Source organism: Homo sapiens, chromosome 11 (assembly GCF_000001405.40).
Source record: "Homo sapiens chromosome 11, GRCh38.p14 Primary Assembly".
Classification (NCBI taxonomy): domain Eukaryota; kingdom Metazoa; phylum Chordata; class Mammalia; order Primates; family Hominidae; genus Homo; species Homo sapiens.
In genome coordinates this window covers 87,707,237-87,724,934 of record NC_000011.10, presented here as the reverse complement: position 1 = coordinate 87,724,934, position 17,698 = coordinate 87,707,237, and the positions used below count along the sequence as shown (strand labels likewise).

General features: G+C 38.0%; 2 long non-coding RNA genes across 3 annotated transcripts in view; one reads left to right on the top strand and one right to left on the bottom strand.

Moving 5' to 3' along the window:
• LOC107984361 (uncharacterized) overlaps nt 1-17,698 on the bottom strand; it is a 552,293-nt gene that overhangs the window by 187,111 nt on the left and 347,484 nt on the right. The window lies entirely within an intron of this gene.
• LINC02711 (long intergenic non-protein coding RNA 2711) lies at nt 5,524-6,581 on the top strand. Its single transcript, NR_135090.1, has 2 exons — nt 5,524-6,029; nt 6,409-6,581. It is a non-coding gene; the product is annotated as a long intergenic non-protein coding RNA 2711 (long non-coding RNA).

The window sequence follows — 17,698 nt, the reverse complement described above, 5'->3', positions numbered from 1 at the left end:
TCCATGGCAAACACATTGGGTTTTGAGCACCTCTCTCTCGGGAAGAAGATTTCTAAACTAAAATGTTCATTTCAGCATTTTCCACCTGCTTTTGTCCTTCTTTCAGGTAATAAATGGAATTAGAAACTCTGTTGAAATCAATAACAAGGAACTTGTTTTTGACAGAAAACAGGAAAGCAATAAGGTGCAGGATGCTGAGAAACAGGTCACTGTCTGTCATTCCTAGAGGCAACCAACCTTCCATCCTCCTTCCCATCCTTCCACTCACTTTTCTATCCATTCATCTAACCAGCATGCATTTCTTGCATACTTACCTAAGACTAAATACTGTTCTGCTTTCTAAATATTCCATGACAGGCAGTTTGCTGCTCCCTATGAGTCACATGACTACAAGAGCAACTGTACAAAGTACAGAATGATCTTAAATTTTTTTTTATTACATTGATTGGTTCTGTTTCTTCATGGGGACAGCAGTAAATTGTTCTTTTAAATTCAGCTTTGAGACACTATAATTTCAGTTCTAAATGCAGAAATTGAACTGCTTTCAAGGATACGAAAATCATGGCAGTACCCTGGGCTAAAATACAATGACAAGCTAAAATACAAGGAACCATTGCATTGCCCTCTGGGAACTATATATCCATGCTGAGAAAGGCAGGCATGTCTTGTGAGCACTGTACCTAAACACACTCCCTGAGAGTGCTCTTTCTCTCCATGGAGCAGAGATGTTAATGCATCCCCTTTCTACCTGATAGGGTTTGTAAAAGAATCACAAGAGAGAATGTCTGTGAATGTGCCTTTTGAAATATATAAATATAAGAAAGCAATTTTTTTTATCATTGGAGGTTGTCTTTTTAAATTATTTGTTAAGAGTACTCCCTGAGTTTTTCTTATTCTACTACTAAGTTTCACTGGAAAAGACAAACAATGTTAAGCCAAGGAATAGTTAAATTGACAGGTTAATTTTGGTATTTGATAAGCGACTCTAAGCTAAATGTTTAACCTTTCGATTTTCTCATCCTTGAAACAGTGATTATAATACATGGGTTGTGGCCGGGCACAGTGGCTCACGCCTGTAATCCCAACACTTTGGGAGGCCGAGGCGGGTGGATCACTGGAGCCCAGGAGTTCGAGAGTAGCCTGGCCAACATGGTGAAACCTCATCTCTACTAAAAATACAAAAATTAGCTGGGCGTGGTGGCGCACGCCTGTAATCCCAGCTACTATAAAGGCTGAGGCAGGATAATCACTTGAACCTGGGAGGCGGAGGTTGCAGTGAGCCAAGATGGCGCCATTGCACTCCGGCCTGAGCGACAGAGCGAGACTCCGTCCCTTGCCCCCGAAAATAATTATATATATATGCATATGTATATGTACATGTATACGCGTATGTATATGTATATGTGTATGTGTATGTATACGCATATGTATATATGGTTGTAAGTCTTAAGCTTCCTGACCACTCCCCAAATCTATCAGCCTGAAAAATACTTGGCTGTGTTTCAGGTTTCCACACCAAGCTTCACTTGGACCTTGTACTTCCTGGGAGCTCCACCCCTAAGATTCTAACCATTCTTCTTCCTTTCACCTCTCAGTAGACTTCTATCAGACCCCTATGATATACTCATGTTTTTATCTCCCCCTGTAGCTTAGGGGAAGATATTGCAATACTGTCTCATTTGATTGTAACCCTAGCAACTAGCATAGTGCCTACATAAAACAGGTGTTTAATAAATGTTTACATAAATAAATGGATAGCAGACACATACGGCAGTGCTTTGTACACTGTAGGAGAGTTAGCCTTGATAATTAGGAATCTGATTTGTTAAATGTTGCAGCGTGTAAGTGAATTTATGGCAAAAAATGAGTATAATTGTTTTAATTGTGAAAGAAAGAACTTTTATAATATCTGTAACTCAGCTTTTCTCAGCCTATGGTGATTTTTCTCCCTGGGGGGCAAGTTGATTGCCACAACCGGGCGAGGGTGCTACTGCCATCTAGTGGGTATAGGCCAGACCTGCTGCTGCTAAACATCCTTCAAGGCAAGGGACAGCCTCCCGCAATAAAGAATAACTTGGCCCGAAAAGCCAAAGTTGGGAAACCTTACCCTAACTAATTCTCTTGCCTCAATTAGAGAATGTGCTGTCCCTTGGGCTGTGCTGGCGATTTGACATTCTATAAGCCCTTTTGGGATTCATCACCCATGAACTTACAGAAAGAACTGTGTTTCACAGCTACTTTTACAAAAGGAGCCGTGATTTGCCCCCGATAGTACTGACTAGAGAAGAGCAAACAGGGCTGTAAGTCAGTAGTACCTTCAATACTTTTCCATCTCGTGGCAGATACCAGCCTGGTTGGGCTTTGATTAGTGCAGCAAACTCCTCTTTCAAGAAATCTGGAGAAGTTAGACTTTCCTCCCTCTAGGCTAAAGAAAGTTAGCTATCACAGAACTATTTCTTCAAGAACCATGGCAAAATAACCATGGGAACCATCCCAGTTTCCAAGAAAAAAAAAAATACGTATATATAAATGGTACTAGATACTTTGATAGTTTCTCTATTTGTAACTTTTTTCAAGGTGACTTTTGTTTTCCTTTTAAGGATAAAAACCCTACTACGACCCTCCCACCAATGACTTGTCTCACCCAATGCCACATCCCTCCTCACTCCCCATTTTTGCATTACAGCTGCAAAGGCCCTGTCTTGATTCCTTCAACATCCTGCGTTCTGAACAACTGCACTGTCAGGAACATCCACAGGTTGCCTAGTTAATTCCTATTAATCCCTCAGAGCTCACTTTGAATGTCAAATCTTCCTAGAGAAGACCTGCTCTAACCTTACATGAGGTTGGATCCCTAGTTAGACCCTCAACTTGTGCACCAGCCATTCTCCCTAATATTTACCACAGCTGTCATTAAATCAGTTCTCTAATGTAAGCTCTGTAGAGCAGGAACCATTTATATCTTCACAAGCAAGCCTAGCATTTAGTTGAGACAGAATAAAAATGTGTTTAATTAGTAAAAATAACTTTTTAGAAAGAGTATCCTCATTTCAAGTTTAAATGATATTTGGCAAGTATTCCCTGATTCAGAATCCAAACATCTTGCAAAAATAACACACAAAGGCACTGTAAGTGAAGAAAACTCAGACTGAGTAGAGAACTTTTTAACTTGTTTCCTCCTACATCTAGTTAGATATACAAAGAAAGAAAATTATTTTTACAATTAGCAAAAAATATTAACTTTTAATAATATCAAGAAATGTGTGGGAAGCTTTGTGAAAACACTAAAAAAATCCATTGGGAGATATAAGTGAGGATTTTGCAACTAAAAAATTAAATTTTTAAAAAATATTTTAAAACTGTCTCCCTAAATCAATTAATAGATAAGAATAATCCTATTCAAAATCTCAATAATATTTTTAGTACATTAAAATGGTTCAAGTAACCACCTGAACTATTTCACAGTTAAAAATAGCTAAGAGAATATTAAAAACGATGAGATCAGAATTCACCTGCTAAATATTAAAACTTGTACTAATTTTTTCCAATATGCCACTAGAATAGAAATCAAAAGGCAAAACAACAGAATAGAACAGATAATTCAGAAACAGATCCAAGTGTATGTAAAAACTTGTAAAAGATAAAGAAATTATACAAACAAATGATAAGTGGAAGTTTAATTAACAAAAAATTTTTTTTTTACATTTTGGGGAAAAATAAAGTTAACTCACTTCTTACCATAGACCAACATTAATTCTGGTGCATTAAAGAAATAAACTAAATAAATAAGTAGATTATGAAGAAAATAAGAGATTAACAGACACTTTATAGTTTTTCTCGAGATTTGGACTTTCTGAACATAAAAGCTATGGGAGAAATCACAATGGAATAGATTGGTATATTTGCGACATGATGCTAGTTACTTTAACTTATTGAGTGGTTGGTGTGTTGTGCCAGGTATCATTGGTGGTGTGCCAGGCATCATGCTATATGCTTTCTATATGTCTTAATTTGATGAAATCTCATCATCCCCCATAAGCTATTAAGATGCTCATCTTATAGAGAAGAAAACTAAGGCAGAAAAAAGTTAAAGTAATTTGATGAAAATCACACATCACAGAGATGTCAGAGCCAAGAGTCAAATGCATCATAGAGGCCAGAGTCTCTGTTCTTCACTACTGTGCTCTTTAATCTGCTATAAAAACACACAAAACATCTGCACATCAAAAATAAAATGGAATAAAAGCCATAAAGTAAAAGGCAAATAACAAATTGAGAAAAATATTTTCAACAAATATCACCACAAATGTATATCCTTTATATTAGCTCCTCCTCTTGTGACCCCACCTTCTTACTTCATTTGTCATTGTATAAAGAATACTTCCTGAGTGTGCGTGTGAATGTGTGTTTGTGTAATCGCTTTATAAATCAACAAAAATACTCAAATGGAAACTAAATGGGCAATAACATGATCAGAAACTTCATTAAAAAATAAATGGACTCAAACAAATATATATACAATCTTACTAGTAACCAAATAATATCTAAATAAATCATCATGTTATTTCCCACCAAATCAGAAAATATTCACTTGTGTATTAGTACAAGTTTTCTGGAAGCAATTAGCCTACATATATCAAGAATATTTTAAAAGTTGGAAATAAAAGACTTTTTCAGATCTATCAATTCTGCTATTGGCTGCCTCTTCTATGGAAATTTTCTGAGAGTTGTATAAGAGTAAATTCATAGAAGTAACATTAATAGAAGTAACATTAAGAGAAGCAAGTTTCTCAGAATAAACTAAACGTACAATCAGGGATAGGTAAGTCAGTCCTGTGATACCCATAGCATAAGTTTCTGAAAAAACACATTTTCATGTAATATTTAATAATGTGGGAAAATGTCCCTGATAGAAAATCAGTTGAAATATAGTAATAGTCATCCTATAGAGGTGAGATAGATATTTTAAGGAGGTCTCATAACAGACAAAATAAGCTTTCAGTTTCTGCCATTCCCAGTCTATACCTAAAACTCTCAAAACAAAATCACTTTGAGTGGCTGATACAGTGTGGGCCGGCTTCCCTTTGTGCCTTTCATTCTCAGCTAATTCATTTGAATCCCACGTTAAGCTTTGGAGAAGTCAAAGGAACGAGACGGAAAATGGAAAGATGAAGCTCTCTGTCCCACCCTAGACCAAGTCTCTCCGATCCTTTCTCTCCATTCTCATTGTTACTGAGAATGCCTCTTGCATTGTGGCCACAAGCCCTTAGTTAATGTCCTCCTCCCTCCTCCCTCTGTTTTAGGTAGATATTTTTTGAAGACTTTTTCTCCTAGTCCTGGATCTCCTTGAAAACAGCTTCCTGAGCATTGCCCTAAATGGAAAGTAAAAGTAAAAGAATGCTTAAAATTTTTACCAGGACCTTGTTGCTAAGCAACCATTTTCTTTGTCTCTAAGTATATGAAATATGACATTGTTTGGAATGTGCTCAATACAAAGGATCAAGGTTGGGGAGCAGGGAGGAGGTAAGGGAGGAGGTGGTAGTAAAGAAACCTTTAGACTGAAAAATGTAAAGATACAATATGAAAGGAGAAAAAAAACAACAAAAGAACCCACCATGGAAGTTTCAACCCACCACCACCACATGGTGCCAAAAACTTCAAAATGGAACATTTCTTATATTGGCACATATTTTTGTGAGAACAAACATATGGTTGTGAGCATATTCTTACCTTCATTGTGATCTGCATATTTCCTCTCTGCAGGAAAATTTAAATGCACTGTTGACATCGTTTTATAGTCACATAAGAAGAAAGCAGGCAAAGAAATGTTATGATTGGACTTATTCATGAGATACCACAGTCTCTAATATATGAAGTTTTTCATATTTACACTACTGGTGAATCTCTAGTTGTATACCTGCCTCTGTGGTCTCATTGTTGGTCCCTAGGATAGCTTATAAATAAAAACAGATGATACTGTCTACTGGCCAGAACAAGCTCACAACTCACTTTCTACTCCATTCTCAAGTGTAAGTATCATTTTTACTTGGTTGAGGGCAAGAACCCTAATTGGGCAGCTTTTACTAAGGAATGAAAAAAACTTTAGCAGAATATAAATAAGCCTAGACAGACGGAGACTTTTTGTTTCTCTTGCCAAGTGGGCAGCTCTGGTGAAAATTTTTTTTCATCATTAGGATCACACACAATCCAAAAATTTGGTATAGTTAGGGAGACTGGGATGGAGAAGTCCATTTAGCTTTCTATGTTTGTCAGACCTGCCCATCTCTAGTCTAGAAAAAGTCTACACTTTGCCTAGCTTACTCATTTAGGGATCAAGAACCTGGTCAGTATTAAAGTTTTGCCTTCTCAGTCAACAGGGCATTTTTCTGTGCATGTGTTTCCCTATAGGACTATGTAGAGAAAGATGGATGGTTGAGGTCAGGATTTGGAGTTCTCTGGCTAACTGCATATTAACTTTGTTATCATCGCCAATATTATCACCTGACAGAGAAACAGACTTGATGGATTTGGGCTTTAGCCCTGACTTCATCACAAATAAACAGTGTCATCTTGGATGCTAACTTATTGTCCCATTGGTGTCTCTTTTTGTTTCATGAAAGTAATCATATCTATAGAAATAGGTATAAATTGAGAGTGTCAGTAATAATTATAAGATAATCAGGTATTTAATACTGAGATTAAGTAATAAAAATTTCCAAGCACCTCAGAAGTCTTCATATGCTCCTATATGCCCTTTCCCCATAGCCTCTGTCTTTTCTTCCTTAAAGGTGTTATCATCATTCTGACTTTTGTTTTAATTAGCCCTCAACTTTTTTGATAATTTTTACTGTAATATAATTTCAAATTTACGCAAAAATTGCAAGAAAAGTACAAGAAAATCTTATGTAACTTTTACCCAGATTTACCATTTATGTACATTTTGATCATTTGCTTTATTATGAATGTGTGTGTGTGTGTGTGTGTGTGTGTGTGTGTGTGTAGTCCTTACTTTCTAGAACAATAAAATGCCCCAAGATCAGCTCATAGTTCCTCTGCCTCAGCTCTGGAGTCATTCGTTTCTCCAAGGAGATTTAGTTCTTTATACCAGAGAATGATATTTAGAAATCAAAATCTGGGCTCAAAATGTGCTCTTTGCTGCTAGTATCTCGTAGCTTTTAGACCCTCTCAATGATTATGTCTAAAAAATATATGTATATTTAAAACACAACCACACAAATGTATGTATGGATAGATAGAGAGGAGAGATAGAGGCGTAGATAGATGATCAATATGATTTATATTCTTTACTTAGATAAAATTTACATTCAATGAAACATAAAATTCTTAGATATAAAACTTCATGAGTTTTGGTAAATGCATGTATCTGCTCATTCCTTGATCAATCAGTAATTCTGTTTCTCTGGAGTGTCATAAATTTTTTCAATTCTAGATTGCTTTGGCTTACTCTAGAATTTTATATAATCTGAAGATAATTTTCCATTGAGTCTTGCAACTCATGAACATAGTGTATCTTGCATTTATTCAGGAGGTCTTCTTAATTTCTCTTAGCAAACTTTAGTAGTTTTAAGTGTACAGGTATTGAGCATATTTTATTGAATTTATACCTAAGTGTTCTCTGCTTATCTTTTGAAGATACTGTAAATATTTTTATTTTTGAAATTTTCTGCTAATATACAAAACTACAATTAATTTTGTATATTGACTTTGTATCTTGCAACCTTGATACACTCACCTATTGTTCTATTAATTTCTTTGTAGTTTCCTTAGCATTTTCTATAGACAGTAATGTTTCCTGCAATAAGAGAGCTGCACATTTTTTTCCCGAACTTAATGACATTTATTAACCTTTCATGCCTCACTGGATTGTCAGAGCCTCCAGTAGAGTGTTAAATTAATGTGTGAGATCAGACAGCCTTGAATGTAATCATTAAATATTACATTTGTTGTAGGTTTTTCCATAAGTAAATTTTGTCAAATTAAGGTAGTTCCCTTCTAGTTCTGGTTTGCTGGGAGTTTTTATGACGATTAAGTGTGGAGACTTGTGACAGTTTTTTTCTCAAAGTGAGATTAGAGAAAGATAAGGGAGGAAAAAAGAAAAGGTAAACTCATTCAGCTTGCAGCCTTCCTTAGCAACTCCATCTCTCAATAATTACTCTCTTATTTGAACTCAGATTTCATTAAATGTCAGTGCTTAATTGCTCTCTATTAGATGTACATGTTGGTTTTGTCTTTACTGTCAACGTAAAACAAAACAAAATCTTGAAGGTGGGAATAGGAAGCTTTACTTCTCTGTATCCCCTACTTCCCCTGGCATTGGGCTACTCTCATAGTGACTGCTTCGTCAGTTTCAGCACTGATTTTTTATTAGTAACAAAATGCCACAATTGTTTATTATTTTAGAGTTCTACATCCAAGATCTCATTTTATTCTCAAAACAACTCAGTGAAAACTTGTTTCGTGTTAAGGCATGTGGGAGTCAGACAGGTATATGGCTTGTCAGTGAACACAGAACTCATTTCAGACAGAGCAAGGAACAGAATTCAGATCCTCTGACACCTCATCCAGATCTATCTCAATGCACCACCCTGCCTGATTTCCTTGGTTCCTCCCAATATCACTACTGAGGTCAGCTCTTGTCCCACTAATGATTATACTGTACTAAGTCTCAAAACTGGGTTAGATCAGGATACAAAGACACTAAGCTGTAAATGATTTAATGTCTGTGTATCTTCCATCACCATGGACCTTGTCCATAAACACACTTGTGATGAAAACTCCTATTAGCCAAGCAGGGTCTTGTCAGACATTCTGCAACATATTAGGTGCTAATTATATATTTGTGGTTGCATGTTGTGCCAAATTCCTGAATCTAATTTGCATGAGGATCCCCTCTGAGATGAATACTCTCTTTCTGGGGAAGGTCGCCCAGCGGTTCACAATGGGCTGCACTTAAGACCAGCGTATTTGTTTTCTAATTCCACTTCTGGAAATACTGCAACCCTGTGGGTCACATGGGACACTCATCTGTACTATGTACACATTAAGCAGATGTCAATTTTAATGGACAATCCTCCCAGAAACTGTCAAAGGGAAACAGAGATCAATGGAGGAGGGCACTTGACTCCATTTACCATTAGACTGAAGCACACTGTCTGCTTAATTTCCCAGTTGTATCTCCTGCCACTTTCTCCCTTGCAATGTATGCTCTGGCAACTTGGAAGTATTTGTCATTCATTACATAGAATACTTCATGTATTCTATGAATTCATACGTTCATGCTGTTTCCTCTATTGATAATGTCAATAATGCCCCTTTCCTCCCAAACCTCCTCTTTCACACACCTCAATAACTGCTTTTCACCTAACATTCTGTCATTTCACAGGTATGTATTAAGTACTTACTACCTGTATGCCAGGCACCATGCTAGGCGCAGAAGATACAGAGGTGAGTACAAAAACGTCCCTGCCCTAAAGGAGCTCACAATGTATTGTGAGGCTGACTGGCAGGGCTTCATGAGGCATACAAAAGCATCATCTATCCTAGCTTCGCAGGGCCACTGAAGGCATCCTGGTGGAGGTTACATAAGCTGAGACTTAGAAAGTTTAGATCTTAGGAACTAGCCAGGCCACAGAGAAGAAATGTGAGAGCCAAGGCTAGAGAGATTGGATTTCCAGCTGCAAGACAGGGATCAGCTGTCTTCCCTTTTAGAAGACTTCCCTGACCCTTCCCCAAGCTGTCAGTTTCCCTCAGAACTTTTACCATTTTTTTGTGCAGAACTCATAATGGCACTTACCACCCTCTGCCATAATCATTGATAGGTTCTTCTTCCTTGAGAAACTAGGAGCTCTTTGAGAGTAAGACCTGAGCTTTATTTAGTATATACCACCAGTACCTAGTGCTGACCCTGGTACCACAGGATGTTTAATAACTATTTGAGGGAACAAACAAACACTTGTGGGGATCTTCTGGAGGAGAGGTACCAGCTTCATAGATAATCCTGCTGCTATGGGCTATAACCCCTTCGGGCAAAATCAGTGAGCCAGGGCATCTGATTGTGTCCAGGCCCTCAGAGGCAGGGTTCCTGTGGTGGCAAGGGTAGGGTGCTCAGGCTTGCTTTCCACAGGGCCATCATCATGACTTTGAGAACCAGACAGACCACTATTCTTGCCAGTTTGAGATGTTGGGGCTCAGAAAACAAAATCTCAAAATGAAAATCTCAGATGCAAAAGTTTATCTCTGACCTTCTTCTGGCCTTCTGTCTCTCAGTCCCATTCTCCCCTAAAGCAGCTATAGAAACCAGAATCCGTCATCCCTAAGGCAGGTCATAGAAACTGGAACTCCTTTTTCCCAAAGCTAGTCATAAAACCTAAAAATATTGCTCTAAGTTTTCTTCTGCCTTTCTGTGTAAAAACTGGCCATAAGGAAATTATCTGACCTACCTTGTTTGACTGCAGGTCATAAAGCCCCCATTCTAGAGAGGGTCCTGCCCCATACCCAGAAAGAAGGAACGCATGCTCAGAAAGGCCAAGAAGAATCTAGACATACAGGCCTTGCTGAGTTTCCCCAATCTGTCTATTAACATTAGACCACACCCTCTTTGCCCAGCCATGCTTCCCACATGGCTGTCCGTGCTTTCTTGAACCTAAGCATAAAAATTTACAATTTCCTCTGTATCTTTTGGTCTTTATTCTGAAGGTTCCCATGCATACACATTAAATAGATTTGTATGCTTTTTCTCCTATTAATCAATCTGCATCATGTCAGTGTTTTCTCAGCAAACCTTTAGGACCTTTGTTCCCACAGAAGGGAAGGTTCTCAAGAGATTTAGACTCTCAGAACTGTGTCTCTTCTACCTAAAAAGCAATTCCTGCTTTTATACCATCAAACAGTTTTAATTCCATTTTAAGAGATGTAATGAAAACCTATTACTATATATCATGAACTCTCAGATGCAAATCAAACCACCATCCTCTTTGACTCTGCTGTCCTTCAACAGTTGAAATGAGAATCATTTTACCTACACAGAGTCAATAACAGACTGTCCAATTCTTACCCCCATTATTGCTGCTGGGGAAATAATTAAAAGTAAAACATCCTGCTAACTCAAAATGATCATCATCACAAAATGGAAAAATGAATGAAGTCTTATTAATAATCAAGCATTAAACCAGACTGCGATGTGGGTCACAGACAGTCCACTGAAGAGATTGCAAAACACAAAGAAATCTCACCAATTATGTTTCTAGACAGATACAATCCATTACATACATGTTAATTGTTTCTAACCATGGAAAAATAAGACTTTAATTTTATGGTGAGCAGTTAGTTCCAGCTTGGAGCTGGCACCTAAGATAAACTCCCTCAGAGGCAGGGAGACAGGGCAGCACCCTCCCTGATGGTCACATTTTAATGCCCACAAGAAAGGCATTCCTGGGAAGCAAAACTGTTAAGATGCTTATTTAGCTTTTAAAAAGATTTACATGCAGCTCAAACAGTCACAGAAAGCATTTATAATTCCAAGTTCTCCAAAGGAATGCTAAAAAAAAAAAAAAAGGTGGCAGGGAGTTCTCTTTTATGTTTGGCACCAGGGAAATTTTTAAATTCAATTTTTATTGATTTATTTAGATGTGTGTAGACCCTTACATTAGACAGTTCTCATTTATTCTGTTCCTGTGCCTGGTCTGTTTCTTACACAACATCTGACTATAATCACCTCTCTCAACTTGTGGTTGTTTCTGTTTATACTTCATTCTGTGGGTTTGTCCTTAAGGAAACCTGTGATTTTTAACTACCTTTCCTCACAGCTCTTAAACTATGATTGTTTAGGTCTCGGATTACCCAGTACTCAGACTGTTCCCACACACGGCGGGTTCCTATGCATCTGTCTTTCTTACTTCCTGTACTGGGCATGCCTTTAAAGCAGTGCTTCTCAAATTTTAAAGTGGACTTGATCACCTGGAGAGCTGATTAAAATGTAAGCTCTAACTCAGTAGGTCACAGTGGATTCCAAATTTTTGCATTTCTGACAAGTTCCCAGGTGATGCCACTGCTGCTGCTCAGTGACCATACTTTGAACAGGAAGGCCTGGGGAATGGCTGCAATTCTTTCTATAGCCTGGGAACATCATTGCTTATCTGCCTCTAGCACAGATGATATTCCTTGTGCAGTTCGTAGCTATCAATTTATTTATTCATTTATTCAGTAATAAATATTTATTGAATGCATACTCTATGACAGGCGTACTTTAGGATATGTCACACTTTCTCTCTTTTTTCCTGCTGTGGCTGGCACTTTTATCCTTTCAAACACAGAACTGCAACTTGGAACGGTTTCCTCCCAAACCACTGCAGCCAATTGATTCCCTGTCCTCCTACAGTTTGTCTGTAAGACTGTGCATCCATTTTCCATGTGAATTTTCCAGGACAGTTTATACTGTAAATGTTTTCTCCCTTTGCCTTTCCATGAAAATTAATCACAAGTAGGAATATATCCTTTGTCAGAGTACATGCCCTGGCTTTTTTATTTGGAAAATATGGTGACAGAGCGTAGAGCCTTAGGCTACAATTCTCTGTCCCTTACAGTGCTCAGCTGTCTTCATTGGTTCCTGGGCTCCATGATTAAGTCTTCTCTGCTTTGCAGTCTGTGGCTCTGATCCTCTATTTGCCAGAAGCAGGGACAGATAATGGCTTCTGAGCACTCATCAGCACTAGCCTTCTCTGATTCTCTGTCTCCCTATGACAGGCTTCAGACTTGGAGTTGCCCTTGGAGGGACAATGATTAAGCTATATCTGCCTGCTGACTGGGCACATCCAAGTGGAGATGACCTTGGTGACCAGTAGACCCCTACAGTAATAAGTGAGTTCACTGGCACTGGCTTCTTCATTCCTTACAGCTGCCACGTGGTCTGATCTTGAAAATTACTATTAAAGGATTTTCTTTTGATCTTCAAAATCACTAAAAATGCTCTCCACTTGACATCAATTAACATCAGTGTGATTACTTTCCAAGGCCCCACAGGATGCCACAGCTTTATAGGAAATGTCAGGGTTGCAGGCAGCCCCTTTCTATGGCTTTGCTTATTTGGATCTACTGATCGTAATGGTGCAATTGTACAGGACTGCCTGCATATTTGGTGTCAGACTAGGGAGTACATGTAATGGCAGACTGATCGCCACCCTGGAACAGCACTGGAAAAACTATAGTTCAGTTTCTCTGATCCTCATTCACAAAGGTATTCATGACTCCCCACTGTGTGCAGGAAACATTCACACTAGACTCGGTCTAGAAATGCTCTCCAAGAGCCAAGTTCTGGAATTGGGGACCTTAAGAGCCTGCTTATTGCTCTTAGCAGATGGTAAAGTCAGCCAGGCCTACACCCTTCCCTTCAGGGTGGCAATTTCTGTCATGTCCTGAGCATGTCCAGAGGGAGTCAGGGACTATAGTCAAAAGCCTTAGAAGTCTACCCGGTGTTCTGTTGTATTGCCACTGAGATGGCACTCAAACAACAAATTGCAACCCTTCCCAATCTTCCCTCCCCTTTCCAAAGGAAGGAGAACCTCACTCTATTGCCACTGCCACTCCAGGCTCGTGGGGAGTACTGTCAGACTACTACTGATATTCCATTAAGGCCCAAGGGCTCTTCAGTCAGCTTGTGAATGCTGCCTGGCCTGGGACATACCCTTCAGGGCAGTAGGCTCCCATTTGGCCCTCCAGCCTGGGATAGCACTGAAGAATCTGAAGTTCATTTTCTGTGATCCTCATTTACAAAGCTATTCATGACTCCCCAGTGTGCACAAGAAACATTTACACTACACTCGGTCCAAAAATGCTGTGCAAGAACCAAGTCCTGGAATTGGGAACCTCAAGAGCCTGCTTGTTGCTCTACCTTTCTGTGCCCAGGCTGGTACCTAAGGTGCAAGACAAATTCCCTTTACTTTTCCCTCCACTTTTCTCAAGCAGAAGTAGTCTCGTCCCATAGCCATCATAACTGGGAATGTGCTGAGTCTCACCCGAAACCAGCAAGTCTGAGAGGCTCACCCAAGGCCCTTAACATAATGCCTGGGTATTGATGCTGGTTTTTCAGGGCCCAAGGGCTCTTCAGTTAGCAGGTGATAAATCCTGCCAGGACTGGATCCTTCCATTCAAGGCAGCAGGTTCCCTTTTGGCCCAGGGTATGTTTAGAAATGTCATCTGGGCACTAGGATCTGCTCAGGTCATGAGAGAACTTGCCACCCTAAAGGAAAAAGCATAGGCCTGGCTGGCTTTGCCATCTGCTAATTGTAGAGCTCCCAGGTTTTGAGCAAACATATGCAGTAGCCAGGGAGTGATTACAGCAGGCCTTTGGTGAGACCCAGAGCTGTGCTGGCTCCAGATCTAATCTAGTGCAGTCCTAGAAGTGGTGGCCACAGGAATTTTTGCATCATTTCACCCCCAGCTTAGGTTGCTTAGAACAGAGAGAGATACTCTATTTGTTTGGAAGAAAGTAAGGGACGAGCACAAGAATCTCTGCCTAGTAATCCAGAGAATGCTTTCGTATCTTGTCTAAGACCATGAAGGTGGTACCTCTGAGAATCTACAAAAAATACAGCATTGCTGGGCTTGGTGACCCTCTTAAAGCAGATACAGCTTAGATCACAACATCAAAATCCTTTCAAATATCTGGAAAGCCTTCCCAAGAAGCATAGACAAAAACAAACCGAGACTGTGAAAACTAAAATGAATACCTAACTCTTCAATGCCCAAATTCTGAAGAACATCTACAAGTATCAAGATAATCCATGAAAACATGACTTCACCAAATGAATTAAATAAGACATCAGGGACCAATCCTGGAGAAACAGAGATATGTGACTTCAAACAGAGAATTCAAACTAGTTGTTTTGAGGAAATTCAAAGAAATTCAGAGAAGAGAGAAGGGGTTCAGAAATTTATGAGATAAATTTAGCAAAGAAATTGAAATAATTAAAAATACTCAAGCAAAAATTCTGAAGTTGAGAAATGCAATTGGCATACTGAAAGATGCATCAGAGTCTCTTAATAGCAGAATTGATTAAGCAGAAGAAAGAATTAGTGAGCATGAAGACAGGCTATTTGAAAACACACAGTCAGAGTAGACAAAAGAAAAGAGAATAAAAAACAACGAAGCATGCTTACAGGATCTAGAAAATAGCCTCAAAATGGCAAATGTAAGAGTTATTGCCTTTAAAGAGAGAGGAGAGAGAGAGACAGAGGTAAAAATATTTATTCAAAGGAATAATAACAAAGGACTTCCCAAACATAGAGAAAGATATAAATATCCAAGTACAGAATGGTTATAGAACACCAATCAGATGTAACCCAAAGAAGAGTACCTCAAGGCATTTAATAATCAAACATCCAAAAGTCAAGGATAAAGAAAGGATCCTAAAAGCAGCAAGAGAAAATAAATAAATAGCATATAATGGAGATCCCAAACATCTGGTAGCAGACCTTTCAGTGAAAACCTTAAAGTACAAGAGAGAGTGGCATGACACATTTAAAGTGCTAAAGGGAAAAAAAAATTTTACCCTAGAATGGTATATCTGGCTAAATCGTCCTTCAAACATGATGGAGAAATAAAGACTTCATTAGACAAACAAAAGCTGAGGGATTTCATCAGCACCAGACCTGTCCTACAAGAAATGCTAAACAGAGTACTTCAATCAGAAAAAAGGACATTAATGAGCAGTAAGAAATCATGTGAAGGTACAAAACTCACTGTTAACAGTAAGTACACAGAAAAACACAAAATATTATAATACTGTGACTTAAGAAGAAAGATGAAATGATGAACCAAACAAAAATAATGACTATAACTTTTCAAGACATAGCCAGTACATTCAGATATAAATAGTAACAACAAATAGTTAAAATATTGAGGAGTGGAAAAGTTAAGAAATAGAGTCTTGTGAAACCCCACCTCTATTAAAATACAAAAAATTAGTGGGGTGTGGTGGCAGGCACCTGTAGTCCCAGCTACTTGGGAGGCTGAGGCAGGAGAATGGCATGAACCCAGGAGGCGGAACTTGAAGTGAGCTGAGATCGCATCACTGCACTTCAGCCTGGGCAACAGGGCAAGACTCCGTCAAAAAAAAAAAAAAAGAAATAGGGTCTTTATTAGTTTATTTTTTTATGCAAACAGTGTTAAGTTGTTATCAGCTTAAAATAATGACTTATAAGATAGTATCTGGAAGCCTCATGGTAACTTCAAACCAAAAAACATACAACAGATACATGAAAAATAAAAAGCAAGAAACTAAATCATATTACCAAAGAATATCACCTTCACTGAAAGGAAGACAAGAAGGAAAGAAAGGAGGAAGAGAAGACCACAAAACAACCAGAAAACAAACAACAATATGGCAGGAGTAAGTCTTCACTTATCAACAATAACACTGAATATAAATGGACTGAACTCTTCATTTAAAAGACATAGAGTGGCTAAAAGGATGAAAAAAACACAAGACCCATTGATCCGTTGCCTACAACAGATCAGTTAGAAACTGAACTCTCCAATCAAAAGACACAGAGTGGCTGCATAGATAAAATTAAAAAAAAAAACGCCCATTGATCTGTGGCTTACAAGAAACACTTCACCTATAAACATACACAGATGGAAAATAAAGGGATGAAAAATAAAGGGATGGAAAAAGATATTCCATGCCAATGGAAACCAAAAAAGAACAAGAGCAGCTACACTTAGACAAAATAGACTTTAAGACAAAAAACCGTAAGAGGTGACAAGGAAAGTCACTATACAATTATAAAGGGGTCAATTCAGCAAGAGGATAAAACAATTTTAAATATGCACCCAACAATGGAGCACTCAGATATATAAAACAAATATTATTAGAGCTAAAGAGAGAGGTAGACTCCAATACAATAACAGCTGGAGACTTCAACATTCCACTTTCAGCATTGGAAAGATCTCCCAGAGAGAAAATCAACAAAGAAACATTGGAATTAATCTGCACTATAAACTAAATGGATCTAATAGATATTTATGGAGAATTTCATCCAAGAGCTGCAGAATACACAGCTTTCTTCTTTGCATATGGATCGTTCTCAAGAATAGACTATGTGTTAGGTCACAAATGAGTCTTAAAACTTGAAAAAATTTCAATAATAACAATAACAAGCATGTCCTCTGACCACAATTGATTAAAACTAGAAATCAATAATAAGAGGAATTTTTGAAGCTATACAAATATTTGGAAATTAAATAATATGCTCCTGAATGACCAATGGGTCAATAAAGAAACTTGAAAAATTGAAGTTGAAGAAAATTGAAAAATTCCTTGAAATAAATAATGGAAACACAACGTACCAAAGCTACCGGATACAGCAAAAGCAGTACTAACAGGAAAGTTTATAGCTATAAATGCCTACATCAAAAAAAAAGAAAAACGTCAAATAAACAACCTAACAATGCATCTTAAAGAACTAGAAAAGCAAGAGCAAACCAAACCCATAATTTGAAGAAGAAAAGAAATAGTAAAGATTGGAGAAGAAATAAATGAAGTTAAAATAAAGAAAACAATACAAAATGTCAGTGAAACAAAGTCAGTTTTTTCAAAAGTTAAACTAAATAGACAAACTTTTAGCCATATTAACTAAGAAAAAGAGAGAGAAAATCCAAATAAATACAATCAGAGATAAA